The 21,250-nt window shown below is 52.5% G+C and overlaps 1 protein-coding gene and 1 long non-coding RNA gene across 3 annotated transcripts in view, besides 12 other annotated features; one reads left to right on the forward strand and one right to left on the reverse strand.

Moving 5' to 3' along the window:
* Nucleotides 9,144-9,333: a silencer, noted in NCBI's record as "silent region_10856". NCBI's record gives its function as "represses an Ori minimal core promoter by ATAC-STARR-seq in GM12878 lymphoblastoid cells {active_cell/tissue: GM12878}" and the evidence as "EXISTENCE:reporter gene assay evidence [ECO:0000049][PMID:35858748]".
* Nucleotides 9,484-9,533: a silencer, noted in NCBI's record as "silent region_10857". NCBI's record gives its function as "represses an Ori minimal core promoter by ATAC-STARR-seq in GM12878 lymphoblastoid cells {active_cell/tissue: GM12878}" and the evidence as "EXISTENCE:reporter gene assay evidence [ECO:0000049][PMID:35858748]".
* Nucleotides 12,997-13,066: an enhancer, noted in NCBI's record as "active region_14869". NCBI's record gives its function as "activates an Ori minimal core promoter by ATAC-STARR-seq in GM12878 lymphoblastoid cells {active_cell/tissue: GM12878}" and the evidence as "EXISTENCE:reporter gene assay evidence [ECO:0000049][PMID:35858748]".
* On the reverse strand, nucleotides 16,630-17,386 carry BICRA-AS2 (BICRA antisense RNA 2). Its single transcript, NR_186352.1, has one exon. It is a non-coding gene; the product is annotated as a BICRA antisense RNA 2 (long non-coding RNA).
* Nucleotides 16,896-16,975: a silencer, noted in NCBI's record as "silent region_10858". NCBI's record gives its function as "represses an Ori minimal core promoter by ATAC-STARR-seq in GM12878 lymphoblastoid cells {active_cell/tissue: GM12878}" and the evidence as "EXISTENCE:reporter gene assay evidence [ECO:0000049][PMID:35858748]".
* The window catches only part of BICRA (BRD4 interacting chromatin remodeling complex associated protein), a 95,082-nt gene continuing 90,784 nt past the window's right edge, over nucleotides 16,953-21,250 (forward strand). The window contains exon 1 of one of the 2 annotated variants that reach the window (NM_015711.3): nucleotides 16,953-17,039. The gene's annotated coding sequence lies outside the window, so the exon portion shown is untranslated. Of the gene's footprint in view, nucleotides 17,040-17,890; nucleotides 17,926-21,250 lie in introns of those variants that run through there. The other variant, NM_001394372.1, reaches the window with a different exon arrangement.
* Nucleotides 17,046-17,095: a silencer, noted in NCBI's record as "silent region_10859". NCBI's record gives its function as "represses an Ori minimal core promoter by ATAC-STARR-seq in GM12878 lymphoblastoid cells {active_cell/tissue: GM12878}" and the evidence as "EXISTENCE:reporter gene assay evidence [ECO:0000049][PMID:35858748]".
* Nucleotides 17,146-17,225: a silencer, noted in NCBI's record as "silent region_10860". NCBI's record gives its function as "represses an Ori minimal core promoter by ATAC-STARR-seq in GM12878 lymphoblastoid cells {active_cell/tissue: GM12878}" and the evidence as "EXISTENCE:reporter gene assay evidence [ECO:0000049][PMID:35858748]".
* Nucleotides 17,286-17,665: a silencer, noted in NCBI's record as "silent region_10861". NCBI's record gives its function as "represses an Ori minimal core promoter by ATAC-STARR-seq in GM12878 lymphoblastoid cells {active_cell/tissue: GM12878}" and the evidence as "EXISTENCE:reporter gene assay evidence [ECO:0000049][PMID:35858748]".
* Nucleotides 17,776-17,825: a silencer, noted in NCBI's record as "silent region_10862". NCBI's record gives its function as "represses an Ori minimal core promoter by ATAC-STARR-seq in GM12878 lymphoblastoid cells {active_cell/tissue: GM12878}" and the evidence as "EXISTENCE:reporter gene assay evidence [ECO:0000049][PMID:35858748]".
* Nucleotides 17,886-17,935: a silencer, noted in NCBI's record as "silent region_10863". NCBI's record gives its function as "represses an Ori minimal core promoter by ATAC-STARR-seq in GM12878 lymphoblastoid cells {active_cell/tissue: GM12878}" and the evidence as "EXISTENCE:reporter gene assay evidence [ECO:0000049][PMID:35858748]".
* Nucleotides 18,006-18,075: a silencer, noted in NCBI's record as "silent region_10864". NCBI's record gives its function as "represses an Ori minimal core promoter by ATAC-STARR-seq in GM12878 lymphoblastoid cells {active_cell/tissue: GM12878}" and the evidence as "EXISTENCE:reporter gene assay evidence [ECO:0000049][PMID:35858748]".
* Nucleotides 18,732-18,781: a silencer, noted in NCBI's record as "silent region_10865". NCBI's record gives its function as "represses an Ori minimal core promoter by ATAC-STARR-seq in GM12878 lymphoblastoid cells {active_cell/tissue: GM12878}" and the evidence as "EXISTENCE:reporter gene assay evidence [ECO:0000049][PMID:35858748]".
* Nucleotides 18,912-19,171: a silencer, noted in NCBI's record as "silent region_10866". NCBI's record gives its function as "represses an Ori minimal core promoter by ATAC-STARR-seq in GM12878 lymphoblastoid cells {active_cell/tissue: GM12878}" and the evidence as "EXISTENCE:reporter gene assay evidence [ECO:0000049][PMID:35858748]".

Below are 21,250 nucleotides of genomic sequence, written 5' to 3' on the forward strand. Positions count from 1 at the left end.
ACTGCTACTTGAATGGATGAACCTTGAGAACATTATGCTAACTGAAGGAAGCCTGTCATAAGGGACTACACACTGTATGACTATTTTTATGAAATATCCAGAACAGACAAGTCCATGGAGACAGAAAGTAGATTGATAGTTGCCCAGACCTGGGGGACGGGAGATAGGAAGCGACTACTAACGGGCCAGCGGTTTTGTGCTGGGATACTGAGATGTTCTGAAGCTACATAGTGATGATGTTTGCACAGCACTGGGAATATATGAAAAACCATTGAATTATACATTTTAAAATGATGAATTTTGAGCCAGGTACAGTGGTGTGTGCTTGTAATCCCAGCTACTTTGGAGGCTGAGGCTGGAAGACGGCCGGAGCCCAGGAATTCAAGACCAGTCTGGGCAACATAGCAAGATCCTGTCTCTACTAAAAAAAATTAAAAATTGGCTGGGCGCAGTAGCTCACGCCTGTAATCCCAGCACTTTGGGAGGCCAAGCGGGGCCAGCCTGACCAACATGGAGAAACCCCATCTCTACTAAAAATACAAAATTAGCCGAGCATGGTGGTGCATGCCTGTAATCCCAGTTACTCGGGAGGCTGAGGCAGGAGAATTGAGAACTTGGGAGCCGGAGGTTGCGGGGAGCCGAGATCATGCCATTGCACTCCAGCCTCGGCAACAAGAGCGAAACTCTGTCCCCCAAAAAATAAATAAATAAATAAGGAGTTTTATGGTAGGCAAATTATATCAGAATTTTTCTTTTTTTTTTTTTTGAGACTGAGTCTTGCTCTGTTGCCCAGGTTGAAGGGCAGTGGTGTGATCTCAGTCACCAAAACTTCTGTCTCCTGGGTTAAAGTGATTCTCCTGCCTCAGCCTCCCAAGTAGCTGGAACTACAGGCACCCACTACCATGCCCAGCTAATATTTTGTGTTTTTAGTAGAGATGGGGCTTCACTATGTTGGCCAGGCTGGTCTCAAACTCCTGACCTCAGGTGATCCTCCCTCCTCGGCCTCCCAAATTGCTGGGATTACAAGCATGAGCCACCGCACATGGCCGAATTATGTAACAATTAAAAAAAACAGCAAACACTTTAATGACTGTAGATTACCTCTGGGGTCAAACCCCAAATCCCTGGTGTACCTGCAAGTCTGCCCTGTCCCTCAGACCATCTCAGCCAAACTGCTGACTTTCTAGCCACCTGCCTTTCCTCCTTCCCCAGTGCTAGGCCTTTGCATCTCCTCTTCCCTTCCACCCTCATCTGACAACTCTATTCATCTCACAAGTCTTAGCTGACTGGCCAGGAGCGGAGGCTCACACCTGTAATTCCAACACTTCAGGAGGCCAAGACCAGAGGGTTGCTTGAGCCCAGGAGTTCAAGACCAGCCTGGGCAACATGGTGAAACCCCATCTCTACAAAACATACAAAAAACTTAGCCAGGTATGGTGGCACGCATCTGTAGTCCCAGTTATTCGGGAGGCTGAAGTGGGAGGATCACCTAAGCCCAGGAAGTCAAGGCTGCAGTGAGCCATGATCATACCACTACACTCCAGCCTGGGCGACAGACTGGGACTCTGTCTCAAAATTAAAATTAAAATTAAATTAGGCCAGGTGTGATGGCTCATGTCTGTAATCTCAGCACTTTGGGAGGCCAAAGTGGTCAGTTCACTTGAGGTCAGGAGTTCAAGACCAGCCTGGCCAACATGGTCTCTACTAAAGATACAAAAATTAGCTGGGCGTTGTGGCAGGCACCTGTAATCCCAGCTACTCGGGAGACTGAGGCAGGAGAATGGTGTGAACCCGAGAGGTGGAGTTTGCAGTGAGCCGAGATAGCGCCACTGCACTCCAGCCTGGGCAACAGAGCGAGACTCCGTCTCAAAAAAAAAAAAAAAAAAAATTAAACAACCTGGAGCTTGAGATCGGCACTGGAAGTAGGGAACAGGCTTGGCTCAGTGGCTTACACCTGTAATCCCATCCCAGCACTTTGGGAGGCCAAGGGGGACGGATCATTTGAGCTTCAGAGTTCAAGACCAGCTTGGCCAAAATGGTGAAACTGTCTCTACTAAAAATACAAAAAATTAGCCAGGTGTGGTGGTGGGTGCCTGTAATCCCAGCTACTTGGGAGGGAGGCTGAGGCATGAGAATCACTTGAACCCCGGAGGCGGAGGTTGCAGTGAGCAGAAATCACACCACTGCACTCCAGCCTGGGTGACACAGGGAGACTCCATCTCAAAAAAAAAAAAAAAAAAAAAAGAGCTCAGTAACTCAGGCCTATAATCCCAGCACTTTGGGAGGCCAAGGCGGGCAGATGACCTGGGGTCAAGAGTTCCAGACCAGCCTGGCCAACATGGCGAAACCCCATCTCTACTAAAAATACAAAAATGACTTGGTCGTGGTGGCGGGCGCCTGTAATCCCAGCTACCTGGGAGACTGAGGCAGAAGAATCGCTTGAACCCGGGAGGCAGAGGTTGCTGTGAGCTGAGATTGTGCCATAGCACTCCAGCCTGGGCAACTCTTTTGAGACAGAGCGAGACTCTGTCTCAAAAAAAAAAAAGAAGTGGGGGGCAATCTTGTGGGACTCAGCCTTCAACCTGTGGGATCTGATGCTGTCTCCAGGTAGATAGTGTCAGAAGTGAATTGAATTGGAGGACAGGCTGGTGTCCCCTGGGGGGAGAAGATCCCCCTCATATCTAGTGACAGAGCGTGTTGTGAGTGTGTCGTGGGACAAACTGTTTGTGTATTCCTCTATTCTCAGAATTCCCTGCACTGTCTTTTCCTAACAATTCCTCTTTATCCTCCTCCTCCTCCAGGAAGCCTTCCCAAACCCCAGGCTGGGTCAGGTGCCTGCTCTGAGCTCCCACATCCCCAGGACTCACTCCCCCTATCCACTTTAGGGAGAAGTCTGTAACCTCCACAGACCCGAGAGTTCCACGAGGTAGACCCCAGGGTCTCCCAGTAACCGCCACAGAGCAGATACCGACAAACACTCATTGCATTGACCTAACCTCACTCCACCACCATCTCCCCAGACCTCTCGGTTCTTGCCTTCCACCAGCCCCTCACCAACCATTTTTGGCTCTTCTCCTTGCCTATGCTGCTGCCATATGTATGATTTTTTATTTTACTTAATTTAATTTAATTTATTTATTTAAGGTGGAGTCTTACTCTGTCACCTAGGCTGGAATGCAGTGGGGCCATCTTGGCTCACTGCAACCTTCACCTCCCAGGTTCAAGCGATTCTCCTGCCTCAGCCTCCCCAATAGCTGAGACTACAGGCACACACCACCACACCCAGCTAATTTTTTTCTCTCTCTTTTTTTTTTTTTTGTTGTTGTTGAGACGGAGTCTTGCTCTGTTGCCCACACTGGAGTGCAGTGGTGTGATCTCGGCTCACTGCAAGCTCCACCTCCCGGGTTCACACCATTCTCCTGCCTCAGCCTCCCAAGTAGCTGGGACTACAGGCGCCTGCCACCACGCCCGGCTAATTTTGTTTTATATTTTTAGTAGAGACGGGGTTTCACTGTGTTAGCAAGTATGGTCTCGATCTCCTGACCTCGTGATCCGCCCACCTCAGCCTCCCAAAGTGCTGGGATTACAGGAGTGAGACACCGTGCCCAGCCACGCCCAGCTATTTTTTTTTTTTTTTTTTTTGTATTTTTAGTAGAGACGGGATTTTGCCATGTTGTCCAGGCTGATCTCGAACTCCTGATCTCAAGTGATCCACCTGTCTCAGCATCCCAAAGTGCTGGGATTATAGGTGTGAGCCACCGTGCCTGGTCTGTATTATTTTTTATTTTTATTTATTTAATTATTATTATTTGTTTTTGAGATGAAGTTTCACTCTTGTTACCCAGGCTGGAGTGCAATGGTGTGATCTTGGCTCACCACAACCTTCGCCTCCCAGGTTCAAGCAGTTCTCCTGCCTCAGCCTCCCAAGTAGCTGGGATTACAGGGATGCACTACCACGATCGGCTAATTTTGTATTTTTAGTAGAGATGGGGTTTCATCATGTGGGTCAGGGTGGTATCCAACTCCTGACTTCAGGTGATCCACCCACCTCGGCCTCCCAAAGTGCTGGGATTACAGGTGTGAGCCATCACACCCAGCCTTATTTCCCACGCCGAGACAGAGTCTTGCTCTGTCGCCCAGGCTAGAGTGCAGTGGCAACATCTCGACTCACTGCAAACTCCGCCTCCCGGGTTCAAGCAATTCTCCTGCCTCAGCCTCCCGAGGAGCTGGGATTGCAGGCATGTGCTACCAGGCCCAGCTAATTTTTGTGTTTTTAGTAGAGACGGGGTTTCACCATGTTGGCCAGGCTGGTCTCGAACTCCTGACCCCGTGATCTGCCTGCCTCTGCCATCCAAAGTGCTGGGATAACAGGCGTGAGCTACTGAGCCCAATCAATTTTTAAAAATCATATATACTCAACACCTTTGCTTTTAAAAAACCCTTAAGCATTTTTTAAAATACAATTTTGTTTTATTTCAGATGGAGTCTTGCTGTTGTCGGCCTGGGCTGGAGTGCAATGGCGCGATCTCAGCTCACTGCAACCTCTGCCTCCTGGGTTCCAGCAATTCTCCTGCCTCACCCTCCCGAGTAGCTGAGATTACAGGCGCCTGCCACCACACCCGGCTAATTTTTGCATTTTTAGTAGAGACAGGGTTTCACCATGTTGGCCAGGCTGGTCTTGAACTCCTGACCTCAGGCGATCCACTCACCTTGGCCTCCCAAAGGGCTGGGATTCCAACTATGAGCCACCGAGCCCGGCCTATTTTTTCCTCTTTTGATCGTGATGATTCTAGTGGGTGTGAGGTTGTATCTCATTGTGGTTTTGACTTCCATTTCCCTAATACTGATGACTGAGCATCCTTTCCTGTGTTTCTTGGCCATTTCCTCACCACCTTCTGCAAGCTGACCTCAGCCCTCACCACCTCACTGAACCATCATTTCCACCTTCACCAGTCCAGTGGTTTATCTTAATTTCCCTTCTTTTCTCTCTCAGCAACTTTGGACACTTCCTCCCTCGCCAGCCATTCTTGGTCTTCGTCTTCCTTTTCTGGAGAGAAATGTAAGAACTTAGGCCAGTTAGTTAACTTCTCTGTGCCTCGGTTCTTCATCTGTGAAATGAAGATGACAACAGCTCCTACTTCAAGGTTGCTGTGAAGATTCCATCAGCTAATGTATGTAAAGGGCTCAGAAGTGTTGGGAGGCCTTGGCCAGGCGCGGTGGCTCACGCCTGTAATTCCAGCACTTTGGGAGGCCGAGGCGGGTGGATCACGAGGTCAGGAGTTCAAGACCAGCCTGGCCAAGATGGTGAAACCCTGTCTCTACTAAAAATACAAAAAATTAGCCGGGTGTGGCAGCGGGCGCCTGTAATCCCAGCTACTCGGGAGGCTGAGGCAGAGAATTGCTTGAACCTGGGAGGTGCAGGTTGCAGTGATCGAAGATCGTGCCACTGCACTCCAGCCTTGGCAACAGACCAAGACTCCGTCTCAAAAAAAAAGAAGTGTTGGAAGGCCCAGGCAGGCGCATCATTGGAGCCCAGGAGTTTGAGTCCAGTCTGGGCAACATGGTGAAACCCTGTCTCTACAAAAAATACAAAAATTAGTCAGGTGTGGTGGTGTGTGCCTTTATTCCCAGCTAGCCAGGAGGCTGAGGTAGGAGGATTGCTTGAGGCCAAGGGGTTGAGGCTGCAGTGAACTATGATTGCCTGTAGTCCCAGCTACTCGGGAGACTGAGGCAGGAGAATTGATGGAACCTGGGAGGTGGAGGTTGCAGTGAGCTGAGATCGCGCCACTGCACTCCAGCCTGGGTGACAGACGGAGACTCTGTCTCAAAAAAATAAATAAATAGGCCAGGCGTGGTGGCTCACGCCTGTAATGCCAGCACTTTAGGAGGCTGAGTTGGGGAGATCACAAGGTCAGAAGATCGAGACCATCCTGGCCAACATGGTGAAACCCTGTCTCTACCGAAAATACAAAAATTAGGTGGGTGTGGTGGCTCATGCCTGTAGTCCCAGCTACTCTGGAAGCTGAGGCAGGAGAATTGCTTGAACCCAGGAGGCGGAGGTTGCAGTGAGCCAAGGTTGCGTCACTGCACTCCAGCATGGCGACAGTGAGACTCTGTCTCAAAATAATAAAAATAAATAAATAAATATAATTTTAGGAAAAGTCACCAGAAATTCAAAACAAAAACAAACTCCGTTGCAGAAATCGGATGTGAAAATTGTTCACTTTCATTCAGAATCTGCGGGTCGGCCAGGCGCAGTGGCTCATGCCTGTAATCCCAGCACTTTGGGAGGCTAAGGCAGGCGGATCATGAGGTCAGGAGATAGAGACCATCCTGGCTAGCACAGTGAAACCCCGTCTCTACTAAAAACACAAAAAATTAGCCAGGTGTGGTGATGGGCGCCTGTAGTCCCAGCTACTCCGGAGGCTGAGGCAGGAGAATGGCGTGAACCCGGGAGGCAGAGCTTGCAGTGAGCCGAGATCGTGCCACTGCACTCCAGCCTGGGCCACAGAGTGAGACTCTGTCTCAAAAAAAAAAAAAAAAAAAAAAAAATCTGCGGGCTGAAGCCAGGTGCGGTGGCTCATGCCTGTAATCCCAGCACTTTGGGAGGCTGAGGTGGGTGGATAACAAGTTCAAGAGATCAAGACCATCCTGGCCAACATGGTGAAACCCCGTCTCTACTAAAAATACAAAAATTAGCTGGGTGTGGTGGCACACACCTGTACTCCCAGCTACTTGGGAGGCTGAGGCAGGAGAATAACTTGAAACCAGGAGGCAGAGGTTGCAGTGAGCTGAGATCACACCACGGCACTCCAGCCTGGCGACAGAGCAAGACTCTGTCTCAAAAAAAAAAAAAAAAAAAAAAAAGAATAAACAGAATCTGCTTAAGATTCTTATATCTTTAGCTTTTAAAACAATACATCTAAAGACAGAAAACGTTTACATGGCACAGTGTAATGTGGTGATTAAGAGTATGAATTTTGGAGCAGGTGCAGTGGCTCACATCTGTAATCCCAGCACTTTGGGAGGCCAAGGCAGGAGGATCTCTTGAGCCCATGTGTTCGAGACCAGCCTGGGAAACAGGACAAGACCTCATCTCTACAGAAAAATAAAAATAGATTAGCCAAGCATGGTGGTGGCACCTGTGGTCCCAGCCACTGTGGAGGCTGAGGTTGGAGGATCACTTGGACCCAGGAAGTCAAGTGGTGAACACGTTGTTGCACTCCAGTCAGCGAGATCCCTGCTAGAAAAAAAAAAGTATAAATTTTGGAACAGGGCTGCAAATCCCTGTGCCCCCTGACTCTGACAATTTTGCAACTTCTCTATGACTCAGTTTCCGTATCAGCAGGAGGTGATATTAGCATATCCTACCTGCTAGGATTGTTGGAGGCATTCAATGAGAGCATCCAAGTACAGAAAGAAGCTCGGTTAAGCATTACTTATAACTACATTGTAAATCCCCCTCTAGCCATGGGTGACTTTTATAGCCATCTGAACAATGTTTCACAAACCCTGTAGTAAAAAGGGGATGATCCGCCTGTCTCGGCCCCGCAAAGTGCAGGATTACAGGTGTGAGCCACCGCACTCAGCCGAGATCTGTTAACAGACTCCAAATCTCGACTTAGTCTCATTGCTGCAAGCGGTCTACTCATTCTCTCCTCCAGATCTTCGGGAACAGAGTAATAATAAAAATCAAAACCCAGCCAGCTCTTCCTCTGTCAGTGGTGTTGACCAGCAGAGACCGCTTCCCTTCTTAAAGGGGCCTTTCCTAGTTTCGACTTTCTCTTCTCTTTCCTAAGATGGCCTGGTGCGTTTCTCCTGTCACCCTCCCCCAAGCATAGCCAAGGAAGCGGCCCCTCCCACATAGTTGGAATGTTAAATATCTCAGTGATGACTACAAGGCTTAAAGCAACAAATAAATAAAGCCACTCTTGAGTCAGAATATTTTATTTGGTGGTGCATGAGTAACAATACCCGATAAATGAAGACACATTCTTAGCGTGTTCTCTATCCCCCAAACGCTGCGGGGTGCAGGGGCTGCGGGGGCTGCAGGTGGGAGGTCCACAGCCTCTAGGGCAGGAGCTCTAGGGCAAGAGCAGGAGCAAAGGGACATGTGGATGAAAACGGGAAATTCTCAGAATTTGTGTATTTATTGGATTTTTTGTGTGTATTTCTTTGAATGTTTTTGTGTATTTGATTTTTTTGTGTGTGCACGTATTTGAATATTTTGTGTGTATTTTTTTGAATAGGTGACACTAGGCTCAAACTTTACAAAGGTAGAAAAAGACCTAACATCCACCCACCCCTGTTTCCCCACGGAAAACTGCTGTGACCAGTTTGCTTTTTTTTTTTTTTTCCCTAGACAAAGTCTCGCTCTGTCACCCAGGCTGGAGTGCAGTAGCGGCTCACCGCAACCTCCGCCTCCCAGGATCAAGCGATTCTCCTTGCTCAGCCTCCCGAGTAGCTGGGATTACAGGCGCGCGCCACCATGCCCGGCTAATTTTTTGTATTTTTAGTAGAAATGGGGTTTTGCCATGTTGGCCAGTCTGGTCTCGAACTCCTGACCTCATGTGATCCGCCCGCCTCGGCCTCCCAAAGACCTGGGATTACAGGCGTGAGCCACCGCGCCCTGCCGCAGTTCGCTTCTGCTTTTCAAGATATTCTGTGTATTTAACAAGCAAAAGCTTGTATTTTTTCATCTCCACCTTTTACATTTTTATACCTTTTTTTTTCTCCTCTCCTACCTTGTCAGGCTACATAGCTCATACCGTGTCAGTTCAAGTATCCCTTCCTCGTTTTACGGTGACTCCGCATCCCATTGCGGGCCGCACCACTGCTTATCTGAGTCCCCCATCGATGGACAACTAGGTTGTTTCTGGTCTTTTTTTTTTTTTCCCACAAATTTTTACGAGAACAACAACAAAAAAAACAATGCTACTCAACCTCACCCCTTGGTTAGTGTTTGTCAAAAAACGGACAGGCAGAAGCCCCAACCTGCGCCCCCCAACGCCCGACTCTCCGCATCCGCCGAGGGTACCCCAGCTCCAGGGATCGCGGTGCTCAGGGACCGCGCGTCCAGGACTGGCCCTGCCTCCCAGAAGCTGTCAGGCGGCGGCCGTGGCCCGCTGTAGCCCCGCCCCGTGGCCCGCCCGCAGTAGGCCCGATTCAAATCTGGCCAATGATAGTGTGTAAACAAACCCAGGCCCCGCCTCCCGACGAATAATCCCCCGACCGGCGAGAGGCCCATTTAACCCGATGGGGTTTGGGGTTGGGACGGTGATGGAGTCGTGGCTCCGCCCCCAGACCTGGGCCAATAGGCGGCTGGGCTCCGCCCCCGGCACTTGCCGCGCTGAGGACCCGAGGCAGGGCTGGGCGCGCAGTTGCCTGATTTCGTGGCGGCTCGCAGTCTGGGCGCTCCGGGCGCTCGGCGCGGGCGGGCAGGGCCAGGAGCTGGGGCGGCGCACTCCGCGGTCCCAGCCGCATTTGAAGGGAGCGGTCAGAGGGCGGAGATCGCCCCGGCATCAATGCCCTCTCATCCCCCACTTTATTTCCACCGCCTAGCTGCTAAAATCCGGACCCGGAAACGTCTCCAATGGGAACTTGTTCCCCTCGCCCCTATTTAACAGAACCTGGAGGGGACGCAGGGGTGTTTTTGGATTGGGCAAGGCTTTCATTTCTTTCCCCTGGTTCTTACATGCATACGGGAAAATGCACGTATCTTGTGCGCCGCTCTACAGAAAACTAAAACTCCATGTGGCACCAGCAGCCTCCCAGGTCGAGAAACAACTTGGGTTGGAGAAATTTTCTTTTCGTTTCTTTGCTTTTCTTTCTTTCTTTCTTTCTTTTTGAGACGGAGTTTCGCTCTTGTCGCCCAAGCTGGAGTGCAATGGCGCGATCTCGGCTCACCCACAACCTCCGCCTCCCGGGTTCAAGCGATTCTCCTGTCTCAGCCTCCCGAGTAGCTGGGATTACAGGCATGCGCCACCACGCCTTGCTAATTTTTGTATTTCTAGTAGAGACGGGGTTTCTCCATGTTGGTCAGGCTGGTCTCGAACTCCCGACCTCAGGTAATCCTCCCGCCTTGGCCTCCCAAAGTGCTGGGATTACAGACGTGAGCTACCGCGCCTGGCCTGAACATTGTCATAATAAAATGTTTGGGGACAGGGGCAGATTTGGGTGCCTGACGATACACTCCCATTGAAGAGATGAGAAAATGGAGGAGCTGGAGAAGTGACTTGCCCTAGGTTCATCTGGTGACTCAGCCACAGAACACCTGGGTGTACTGATTTAGTCCCCACCCTGCCTGGCTGGCCTTGGGGACAAGTCGCTGAACCTGTCTGGGTCTGACTGCCTAACTCAGTGCTTAACCTAGGACTCATAACTTGCGCCTGATTCTCAAATAGAAGGGGCGTGTCACTCCCGAAGGACAGCAGGTCTCTTTCGATCTGGGCCCATATTGATCCCCAACACTGGTCTTTGGTCATCCCTTTGGCTGCCTCTGACCTTCCCCACTGATTCTAGAACAGTGTGGACCACACTCACTCATTAACTCTGAAACTTGGACAGGCTTTCCAGGATGTCAGGGGACAGACAGGACAGAGCAGGAAAAACAGACGTTTGCTCTCCCAGGGCAGGGATTGCCAGGGAATCAATGCCCTTTGATCCACCCCCTTAGTTCCACTGCCTGGTAGCTAAAACCCAGATGCTGTACCAAGGGATCGTTTAAAAAATTCCATTTGAGAATCATATGCAAGTTATGAGTCCCCCATTAAGAACTGAGTTGGTGCCTGTAATCCCACCACTTTGGGAGGCCAAGATGGGGGGATCACTTGAGGCCAAGAGTTCGAGACCAGCCTGGCCAATATGATGAAACCCTGTCTCTACTAAAAATACAAAAACTAGCTGGGCATGGTGGCGGGTGCCTGTAATCCCAGCTGCTTGGAATCGCTTCAACCCTTGGAGGCGCGCGTTGCAGTGAGCTGAGATTGCGCCACTGCACTCCAGCTTGCGTGACTGTCAAGAAAGAAAGAAAGAGAAAGAAAGATAGAGAAAGAGAAAGGAAGGAAGGGTGAGGTGGCTCATGCCTGTAATCCCAGAACTTTGGGAGGCCAAGGCTGGCAGATGACAAGGTCAGGAGTTCAACACCAGCCTGACCAATATGGTGAAAACCCGTCTCTACTAAAAATACAAAAAATTAGCTGGGCGTGGTGGTATGCGCGCATCTGTAGTCCCAGCTACTTGGGAGGCTGAGGCAGGAGAATTGCTTGAACCTGGGAGATGGAGGTTGCAGTGAGTCAAGATTGAGCCACTGCACTCCATCCTGGGCGACAGAGCGAGACTCCATCATCTAAAAAAAGAAAGAAAGAACGAGAGAGAGAGAGAGAGAGAAAGGGCTGGGCACGGTGGCTCACGCTTGTAATCCCAGGACTTTGGGAGGCTGAAGGCAGGTGGATCACTTGAGGTCAGGAGTTCAAAACCAGCCTGACCAACATGGTGAAACTCCGTCTGTACTGAAAAAAATAAAAATAAACATTTGCTGGGCATGGTGGTGCATACCTATAATCCCAGCTACTTGGGAGGCTGAGGCAGGAGAATTGCTTGAACCTGGGAGGCGGAGGTTGCAGTGAGCCGAGATCGCACCATTGCACTCCAGCCTGGGCAACAAGAGTGAAACTCCATCTCAGAAAAAAAGAAGAGAGGATAGAGAGAGAAGGGAAGGAAGGAAGGAGGAAAGAGAGAAAGAAAAAGGAGGGAAAAAGAGAAAGAAAGAAAGAGAAGAAAAGAAAAGAAAAAAGAAAAAGAAAGAAGTAACTGAGTTGAGCAGTCAGACCCAGACAGGTTCAGTGACTTGTCCCAGGGTCACTCAGGCAGGGTGGGGACTAATGGCTATCAGCCATGGCTAGGCATGGGGCTGGCCTCTTTTTATCTTTTTTTGAGACGGAGTTTTGCTCTCGTTGCCCAGGCTGGAGTGCTATGGCGCGATCTTGGCTCACTGCAACCTCCGGCTTCCGGATTCAAACAATTCTCTGTCCTCAGCCTCCTGAGTAGCTGGGATTACGGGCATGTGCCATGATGCCCAGCTAATTTTGTATTTTTGGTAGAGACGGGGTTTCTCCATGTTGGTCAGGCTGGTCTCAAACTCCCGACTTCGGGTGGTCCACCTGCCTCAGCGTCCCAAAGTGTTGGGATTACAGGCGTGAGACACCGTGCCCGGCCTGAGTTTTTTTGTTTTTTTGAGACGGAATCTCCCTCTGTCACCCAGGCTAGAGTGCAGTGGCGCGATCTCAGCTCACTGCAACCTCCCTCTTTTGGGTTCAAGCGATTCTCCTCCCTCAGCCTTCCAAGTAGCTGGTACTACAGGTGCGCACCACCACGCCCAGCTAATTTTTTCTATTTTTGTAGAGATGGGGTTTCGCCGTGTTGCCCAGGCTGGTCTCGAACTCCTGAGCTCTGGCAATCTGCCCACCTCAGCCTCCCAAAGTGCTAGGGTTACGGGCGTGAGCCACTGCACGGGGCCAGGGCTGGCTTCTTGTTGGTGTCCTCTGCACCCTACCAGAGCCATTCCAAGTGGCATGGCCCCAAGACCATCTCCCTAAGAGGTCAGGTGTGTGTATGAGGTGGGTGGATGTTGTTAATATCTATTCAGCAAACTTTTATTGAGCATTTACTAAGCACCAAGCACTGTTTTAGGGGCAGTGGATATTCTACAATGTACCAAAGGAACCTGGGAACTGCCAAAAAGGGCATGACCAAGGGAGGTAAACTGAGGCTCGCAAACCGAGGCTAATTAAGCGACTTATTTGCTTACTTGCTTGTTGGCTGTGTTGCCTAATAGATTGTGAGTTGTGTGGGAGGCAAATAGATTGTGAGTTGTGTGGGAGGCAAATAGATTGTGAGTTGTGTGGGAGGCAGGAACCCGGGTGGTGTTGGTCACCACAGGATCCTTGACACACTAGATACTAAAAAAATATGAATGAATAGACTCTGACGAAGTCTCCAGTGAGTCCCCTAGTTCTGAGTCCCCCGGGGCTGGCAGCTATGACAGAAACACAAGTGCTACACTTCAGGTCCCAGTGTACAGTGACGGCTTCAGATGAGGGCTGCGTCTCACTTTGTGGGTGCGTGACTGGGCAAAACACTTCCCTTCTCGGAGCCAATTGAGTTTTCTACACTGTATGATGGGGGTAACTAAAGGTCTCTCCCCTGTGGGCAGTTCTCATCAGAAACTGTGTTCACCACCCAGTTAACACTCTAAAAGTGTAGCTCCATCAGTGGCTGTGGAAGTGCAGAGTTAGGAAGACTCAGACTATACAAACATAAAGTAAAAAAAGTGTATACTGCTGCTTCTCAGAGGGTCCACACACCTCCAGTGGGTGGTGGATGATCACTGCTTGTTTTTGTTTTTTTGTTTGCTTGTTTGTTTTGTTTTTGAGATGGAGTCTTACTTTTGTTGCCCAGGCTGGAGTGCAATGGCGTGATCTCAGCTCACTGCAACCTCCGCCTCCCAGGTTCAAGCGATTCTCCTGCCTCAGCCTCCCCAGTAGCTGGGATTACAGGCGTCTTCTACCACGCCCAGCTACTTTTTGCATTTTTGTAGAGATGGGGGGGTTTCACCATGTTGGCCAGGCTGGTCTCGAACTCCTGACTTCAGGTGATCCACCTGCCTCGGCCTCCCAAAGTGCTGGGATTACAGGCGTGAGCCACCGCGCCCGGACTTGTTTTTGTTTTTGTTTGAGACGGAGTCTCACTCTCGCCGAGGCTGGAGTGCAGTGGCGTGATCCTGGCTCACTGCAACCTCCGCCTGCCGGGTTCAAGCAATTCTCCTGCCTCAGCCTCCAGAGTAGCTGGGATTATAGGTGTGCGCCACCATGCCTGGCTAATTTCTTTTGTGTTATTATTATTATTTTTTTGAGACAGAGTCTTGGGCTGTTGCCAGGCGAGTGCAGTGGCGCAATCTGAGCTCACTGCAACCACCACCTCCCGGGTTCAAGTGATTCTCCTGCCTCAGCCTCCTGAGTAGCTGGGAACACAGGCACATGCCACCACGCCTGGCTAATTTTTGTATTTTTAGTAGAGACGGGGTTTCACCATGTTGGCCAGGCTGGTCTCAAACTCCTGACTTCAGGTGATCCACCTGCCTCGGCCTCCCAAAATGCTGAGATTACAGGCATGAGCCACCGTGCCCGGCCTGTTTGTTTGTTTGTTTTGAGACAGACTCTTGCTCTGTTGCCCAGGCTGGAGTGCAGTGGCGCAATCTTGGCTCACTGCAGCCTCGACCTCTGGTGTTCAAGCAATTCTCGTGCCTCAGCATACGCCACCATGCCGGGCTGATTTTTGTATTTTTAATACATTAGATTTTGTAATTTTTGTATTTTCGCTGCGTTGAACAAGATGCTCTGGAACCCCTCACCTCAAGTGATCTGCCTGCCTTAGCCTCCCAAAGTGCTGGGATTATGGGTGTGAGCCCCTACACACCTGGGCCATGGAGGCTTTTTTTTCTTTTATTGCATGATGCCTAGGTTTGGGGTACGAATGAGCCCGTCACCTAGGTACTGAGCATAGTACCTGAAAGTTAGTTTTGTTTTGTCTTTTTTTTTGAGACAGAGTCTCACTCTGTCGCCCAGGCTGGAGTGCAATGGCATGGTCTCGGCTCACTGCAACCTCTGTGTCCCGGGTTCAAGCGATTCTCCCACTTCAGCCTCCCAAGTAGCTGGGACTACAGGCATATGCCACCATGCCTGGCTAAGTTTTGTATTTTTAGTAGAGACAGGGTTTCACTATGTTGGCGAGGCTGGTCTTGAACTCCTGATCTCGTGTTCCTCCTGCCTCGGCCTCCCAAAGGGCTGGGATTACAGGCATGAGCCACCATGCCCGCCCCCGAAAGTTAGTTTTTCAACATTTGTCTCCTATCCCTACCTCCCCACTCTGGTAGTCCCCAGTGTTTATCTGTCCCATCTTCATGTCCATGCATACCCAATGTTTACCTCCCACTTATAAGTGAGAAGATGAGGTATTTGGTTATCTGTTCCTGTGTCAGTTTGCTTAGGATAATGACCTCCAGCTGCATCTGTGTTGCTGCAAAGGACATTATTTCATTATTTATTTATTTATTTATTTTTGAGACAGAGTCTTGCTCTGTTGCCCAGCCTGGAGTGCAACGGCGCTATCTCGGCTCACTGCAACCTCCGCCTCCCAGGCTCAAGTAATTCCCTTGCCTCAGCCTCCCGAGTAGCTGGGACTACAGGTGCCTGCCACCACACCCAAATAATTTTTGTATTTTCAGTAGAGATGGGGTTTCCCTTTGCTGGCCAGGCTGGTCTCCAACTCCTGACCTCAAGTGATCCACCTGCCTCGGCCTCCCAAAGTGCTGGAATTACAGGTGTGAGCCACCGCACCAGGCTTCATTCTTTTTTATGACTGCATAGTATTCCATGGTGTACATTTATCACATTTTCTTTATCCAATCCACTGTTGGTGGGCACCTGAGTTGATTCCATGTCTTTGCTATTGTAAATAGCATTGCGGTGAACACCACTGTACTAAGTTATAGATCTATCATGCTTTTATGTTTGGGACATTGCATAAGGTATTCACTTGTGGAACTGATAACTTCCTGTTTACTTACTAATGATAACGGCCAGCATTTATATGGCACTTCCTCTCAGGTGCAGCTCTCCCTAGCTCATTCTTCCTCATGACCCTATGAAATGAGGCCTATTATTATCAGCATGTTAAAGATGAGGACACACAGAGGTGAGGTAATTTGTCCACTGTCACACAGCAAGAAAGTGGCAAAGGCAGGATATGAACCAGGGGCTGACTGGTTTCAGTCAGGGCCCTTACCCTCTGTGGTCTCTCAAAATTAATTTCTTCTTCTTCTTTTTTTTTTTGAGACAGGGTCTTGCTGTCTCCCAGACTGGAGTGCAGTGGCATGACTATGGGGAACTACAACCTCGACTTCCTGGACTCAAGCGATCCTCCTGCCTCAGCCTCCCAAGTAGCTGGGAGTACAAGCACACACCACCATGCTGGGCTAATTTTTGTTTGGACAGGGTCTCGCTATGTTGCCCAGGCTGGATAAATTATTATTATTATTACTATTTTTGAGACAGAGTTTCCCTCTTGTCGCCCAGGCTGGAGTGCAATGGTGTGATCTCGGCTCACTGCAACCTCTGCCTTCCGGATTCAAGCGATTCTCCTGCCTCAGCCTCCCAAGCAGCTGGGATTACAGGCGTGCACCACCACACCCAGCTAAGTTTTGTATTATTAGTAGAGAAGGGGTTTCACCATGTTGGCCAGGCTGGTCTCGAACTCCTGACCTCAGGTGATCTACCCTCCTCGGCCTCCCAAAGTGTTGGGATTACAGGTGTGAGCCACTGCGCCTGGCCGATAAATTATAAAAAAAAAAAATACGTTGAAGTAAATATTATGGGTAGTACCGCCAAGATACTAGAACACATGTTAAGGCTTAAAAAAACAGAGGCCGGGCACTTTGGGAGGCCGAGAATAGCTTGAACCCAGGGGACGGAGGTTGCGGTGAGCCTAGATCGTGCCACTGCACTCCAGCCTGGGCGAAAGAGCGAAACTCCGTCTCAAAACAAAACAAAATATAACACAACAACAACAAAATCACAATCTGTCTCGATTACTCATTTATTCAACCCGCATTCACCTACTGTGTGCACGAGCTTTTCTAGGGCACTGGGGAGGCAGAAGGGACTAAAACAAAGTATAAATCTCCCTGGGCTGCAAGCATCGGGAGGGCAGGTCCGGGGGCTCTGTGTCCCCACTGGGCCCCCAGCACTGCGCAGCGCACACAGTGGGCGCTCACCAAGCGCTCGCTAAGGGCAACGCGTGAATCCGTGTCCCGCCAGCAGGGCGTTTACGGCCTGGTGGGGCGGAAACGGACCCGACACCACCGCGGCGTCCTGGGGCTTCTGGGAATCCCATCAGCGCGGCCAGAGCGGCCGGGGACAGGCTCCGAGGCAGGCCCGACCCGCCTCCCCGGCGCCGCCGTGGCTCGACGGAGACCAGCTAGGGTGAGTGATCGAGCCACGCCTGGGGTCCCGGCCTGTCACCCCGAAGTCCCCGCCGCCTTCCACCCTGTCAGGCTCCAACTCTGGGCTCCGGCGCGGTCCCACCTCCGGGGGGAACTCCCCTCCATCCCCTCCATTTCCTTCATCCTCGACTCCCGCTATCTTTTCGGACCTGCGGCGCTCCCCCTGGACGCGTCCTCCCGCCGGACGACCGTCCTCCGCCTCAGGGGACGCGCCCAGGACGCACGGCGCCCCCTCCCCAGCCGGACCGGCGGTCTGGGAGCGCGGATCCCTTCAGCTCCCCCGCGCCCCAGCATCCGGATCAGGGCTCGAGGCAGTCGACAAACTACACCCGAGCTCGAGCAGGCGCGCCCCTGAACCCCCGGGACTGGGGCTGGGGGCGGGGGCGGCGCCGGCGCGGAGGGCCCAGTCCCCGGACGTCCGCAGCCTCCCATTGGCTCCGGGTCCCGCCGCTCGGCCTGGCGGGGCCGGGGCTGGTCCGCCCGGACGCGGGGCGGGGATTCCTGAAGCCCCTCCTCCGGCGAGGGCGGAGGGAAGAGGAGGAGGAGGAGGAGGAGGAAGGGGGTGGGGGGCGGAACACAAAACCTGAGAGGTTTTTTTTTTTTTTTTTCCGTTTGCATTTAATTAAAAAAAATTTTTTTTTTTTTTGCATACCCGAGGGGCGCTCCCCGGAACGGGCGCGGGCCCGGGGCGCGCGGGCCTGGGCGCGGGGCGGCGGCGGGGGCCCGGCAGCGGCTGCCGAGCGGCCGCCATGCGATCAGGCAGTGCGCTGACCGGCCCGGCCGGCCGGCCCCTTCTGGGTCCTCCCTTTGCAGCCCGTGCGGGGCCGTCTCGGAGACCCCGCGCCGACGGCTGCTCAAACATCAGGGTGAGTTTCTCACAATGTAGCAATTTCTCTTTAAATCTCTTAACTCTCTCTACCTGCGAGTCGGGGCTGTGACAGGGCGCAAAAGCGAGGGGGGAGTGGGGGTTGGCGGCGAGGGTGTGTGTGGGGGGAGCCGGAGCCGGGGCCGAACCCACCCCCGCGACACTCTCACACTCAGCCCCCCAGCCGGGGCGCAGCGCCCGCTGCCTCCTTTTTTTTTTTTTTTTTTTTTTCCTGCTCGGCGCCCACCGCCACCGGCACCCCCAGCCCCGCGTCTCTTCCACCACCGCCGCCGCCCCGATCCTATGGGGACCCCCCCCCAACCGGCTTCCCTGCCCAGACCCGGCGCCCAGTGCCTCCCCGGCCCTCCCGCCGGCTGCCGGGGATACAATGGAGCGGCGGAGAGAGGAGACCTAACGTTCCACGGGGGGAGGGGCGCGGAGACCCCCTCCCCGTCCCGGCCCCCTCCCCTCGCCCCGCTCCCCGCCTTTCGGGGAAGGCGAAGGCCACCGGGCAGCGGGCGGTGATCTCCCGGCCGGAGGCGGAGAGCCTGCATCTCCCCGCCTCGCTCGGCCCCTGCGCCCCCTCCCCAAATCCCTCCCGTGGGTGTCGCGGACAGTGGGGGGCCCTGGAAAGCTGGGGAGGGATGGATGGGGAAGGAGGCCACCGGGGCTCCCCCCTTCGCACCGCCCCTAAACAATGAAAGGAGTTGACTTGACCCCCAGCCCCCGGCAATAGAGGGAGGTGACCCCCTCCCCCACCCCCAGCTGAGGCTCATCCCGGAGGGGGCCGTTACGGGGGTGGGGGGGGTGAGCGCCTCCTGTCACTTCCCGAGGTTCGGGGCGGCCCCCCATCTCCTACCCCTCGGCCTGGGAACGGGAGGCACCAGGCCCGGCCGGGGCACCGCGCTCGGGTGGTGACCTTTAGACAAAGGCAGCCCTTTCCCCGGGGTGAGCCCGGACGAGCTGGGCCTGCGGCCTCCCCGGGCCCCTGCGGAGGGCAGCCAGGCCGCGGGCACCCGGAGGGAGGGATGGAGGAGGAGGGAGGAGGGATGGAGCCATCTGGTTTTCCCATCCCTGGCTGCCCCTCGTCTGCTTCCCCGACTCCTGTCACGGGCGGCCGCGGGGAGACGAGGGACCAGGGGCTGCTTGGGCCTTGGTGCGCGGCCAGCCGGGAGGACCGGGCAAGGAGCCGCGGGAGAGCTAGGCTCGGGCTCGGGCGCCGGCGGTGATTGGGAGGCACTGCGGCTTCTTCCTCTCCGCGCCCCTTTGTTTTGCTTTGTGGTTCTGAGCAGCTGAACTTCCCGGGAGGTGGGGTCAGAGGCCGCGGTGTCAGCTCTCCCGGGGAGGCCCAGGTGACAGGTCCTAGCTCTCTGGTGTCCCCATCCTGGTGGGCTGCAGTCTGTGCCCAGGCCCATGTCCTGACCATCGTCCCCTTTTGTCACCCCCCCCCCACACACACACCTACCTACCCACCCCATAGTATAATACAGATCTAGGGGTGCCTTTCTCTTACACCTCTTTACGGAGGGCACTTGAAAGGGAAACTAGAAACATCCAAGGCATCAAGGCCTGAGATTCATGATAAGCTCTCTGTGCTTTTAACCTCTCCCAGCACCTGGGGTGGGTGTGGGGGGTATTGTCAACTCTGACCTGCCCTGGGTCATGAGAAAATGGGAAGACAACTCAGGAAGCACCCCCTTCCCATGCACTGGTAGGACTTTTGGGACATGTTGACCTCCCTTGCCTTCCCTCATAGCTCCCCGCTCAAGATGGAAATATTAATAACAATATCAAACTAGGGAGCTTTATTCCGCTGCTGCTAAGTACATTACACGCTGGCCACAGTCCAAGGAGGAAATAGAGACGGGACAGACATTCCCGTTTTCCAGACAGGTTCATGGAGGCTCAGAGAGGTTAAGAAGCTTGCCCAGGGTCACACAGCCCTGGGTCACACAGAGCCCCAATTTGTAACCTCCTGGAGTTTTTCCAGCTTGGCTCAAAACTGTTAAGCCCTTCTTCTGTCCCACCCTTTGGCATTTTGTCCCCCTGACTTCAGTGGACCTGGTTCGGAAATGTAGATAATATTTAGAAGAAGCGGCCAGATTTTTTTTTTCCCTGGGAGCTGGTTTTGAGAAGGGGTAAGATGCACCTCGAAGTTGGGCTGAGGGCAGGATCATTTCACTTGTGGCTGGAATGGAGAATTGTCTGCAGGAACTGAGAACTGAAGGTGTGTGAGGAGTGGGGGAGGGGGAGCCCCAGGCCTGGCCAGTGATGGGCTCGGGGTACCTGGGAGCTGGCCCCACTGTCATCTTCTCCCTTCTCTACCTGAGCGGGGGACTTGGCCCCATTTGCTGCTACTCAGCCCTGAAGTAGAGAAGAGAGAAGCTGAACTGTTTGGGAATGTTGATGTCTGGTTGTTCCTATGCCCTGTGACCCGCTGTCGCTTTGCCACACCATGGCCCTTTGATGCAGCTAGCGGAGAACTTTCTTGCCTGTTCTCCTTGGCATGATCCACTCTGTAACCTTAGGCAGGTCATTTAACTGCTGGTCCTGTTTTCTCATCTGCAAGTGGGGGTAATTATAGTTCCTTTAAGTGACCTGGAGGTGGGTAAAAGTATTATCCAAACGTGTCATTCATATTTATCATTCAGCAGGCCGGGTACGCAGTGTGGGCACAGGGGAGGAATGTCAACTGGTGGCATTTAATTTTTTTTTTTTTTTGAGACAGAGTCTCGCTGTGTTGCCCAGGCTGGAGTGCAATGGCCTGATCTTGGTTCACTGCAACCTCTGCCTCCCAGGTTCAAGCGATTGTCCTGCCTCAGCGTCCCGAGTAGCTGGGATTACAGGCACCCACCACCACACCTGGCTAAATTTTGTATATTTAGTAAAGACGGGATTTCACCATATTGGCCAGGCTGGTCTTGAGGTCCTGACCTCAGGTAATCTGACTGGCATTTAAATTTAAGGCCAGGTGCCATGGCTCACACCTGTAACCCCAACACTTGGGGAGACCGAGGCTGGAGGATTGCTTGAGCCCTGGATTTTAAGACCAGCCTAGGCAACACGGTGAGACCCTGTGTCTACAAAAAATGAAAAAATTAGTTGGGCATGGTGGCACTCACCTGTGGTCCTAGCTACTTGGGGGTGCTGAGGTGGGAGGATTGCTTGAGCCTAGGAGTTTGAAGCTGGGGTGAGCCGTGATTGTGCCACTGCTCTCAAGCCTGGGCAAGAGTGAGACCCTGTCTCAAAAAAAAAAAATAAATAAAATAAAAAATGTAAAGGTGAGTGGCAGAATACCTTTGCCCCAGAAGAATTCCCTGTGGTCT

The sequence above is a fragment of the Homo sapiens genome, chromosome 19, assembly GCF_000001405.40.
Source record: "Homo sapiens chromosome 19, GRCh38.p14 Primary Assembly".
NCBI lineage: Eukaryota > Metazoa > Chordata > Mammalia > Primates > Hominidae > Homo > Homo sapiens.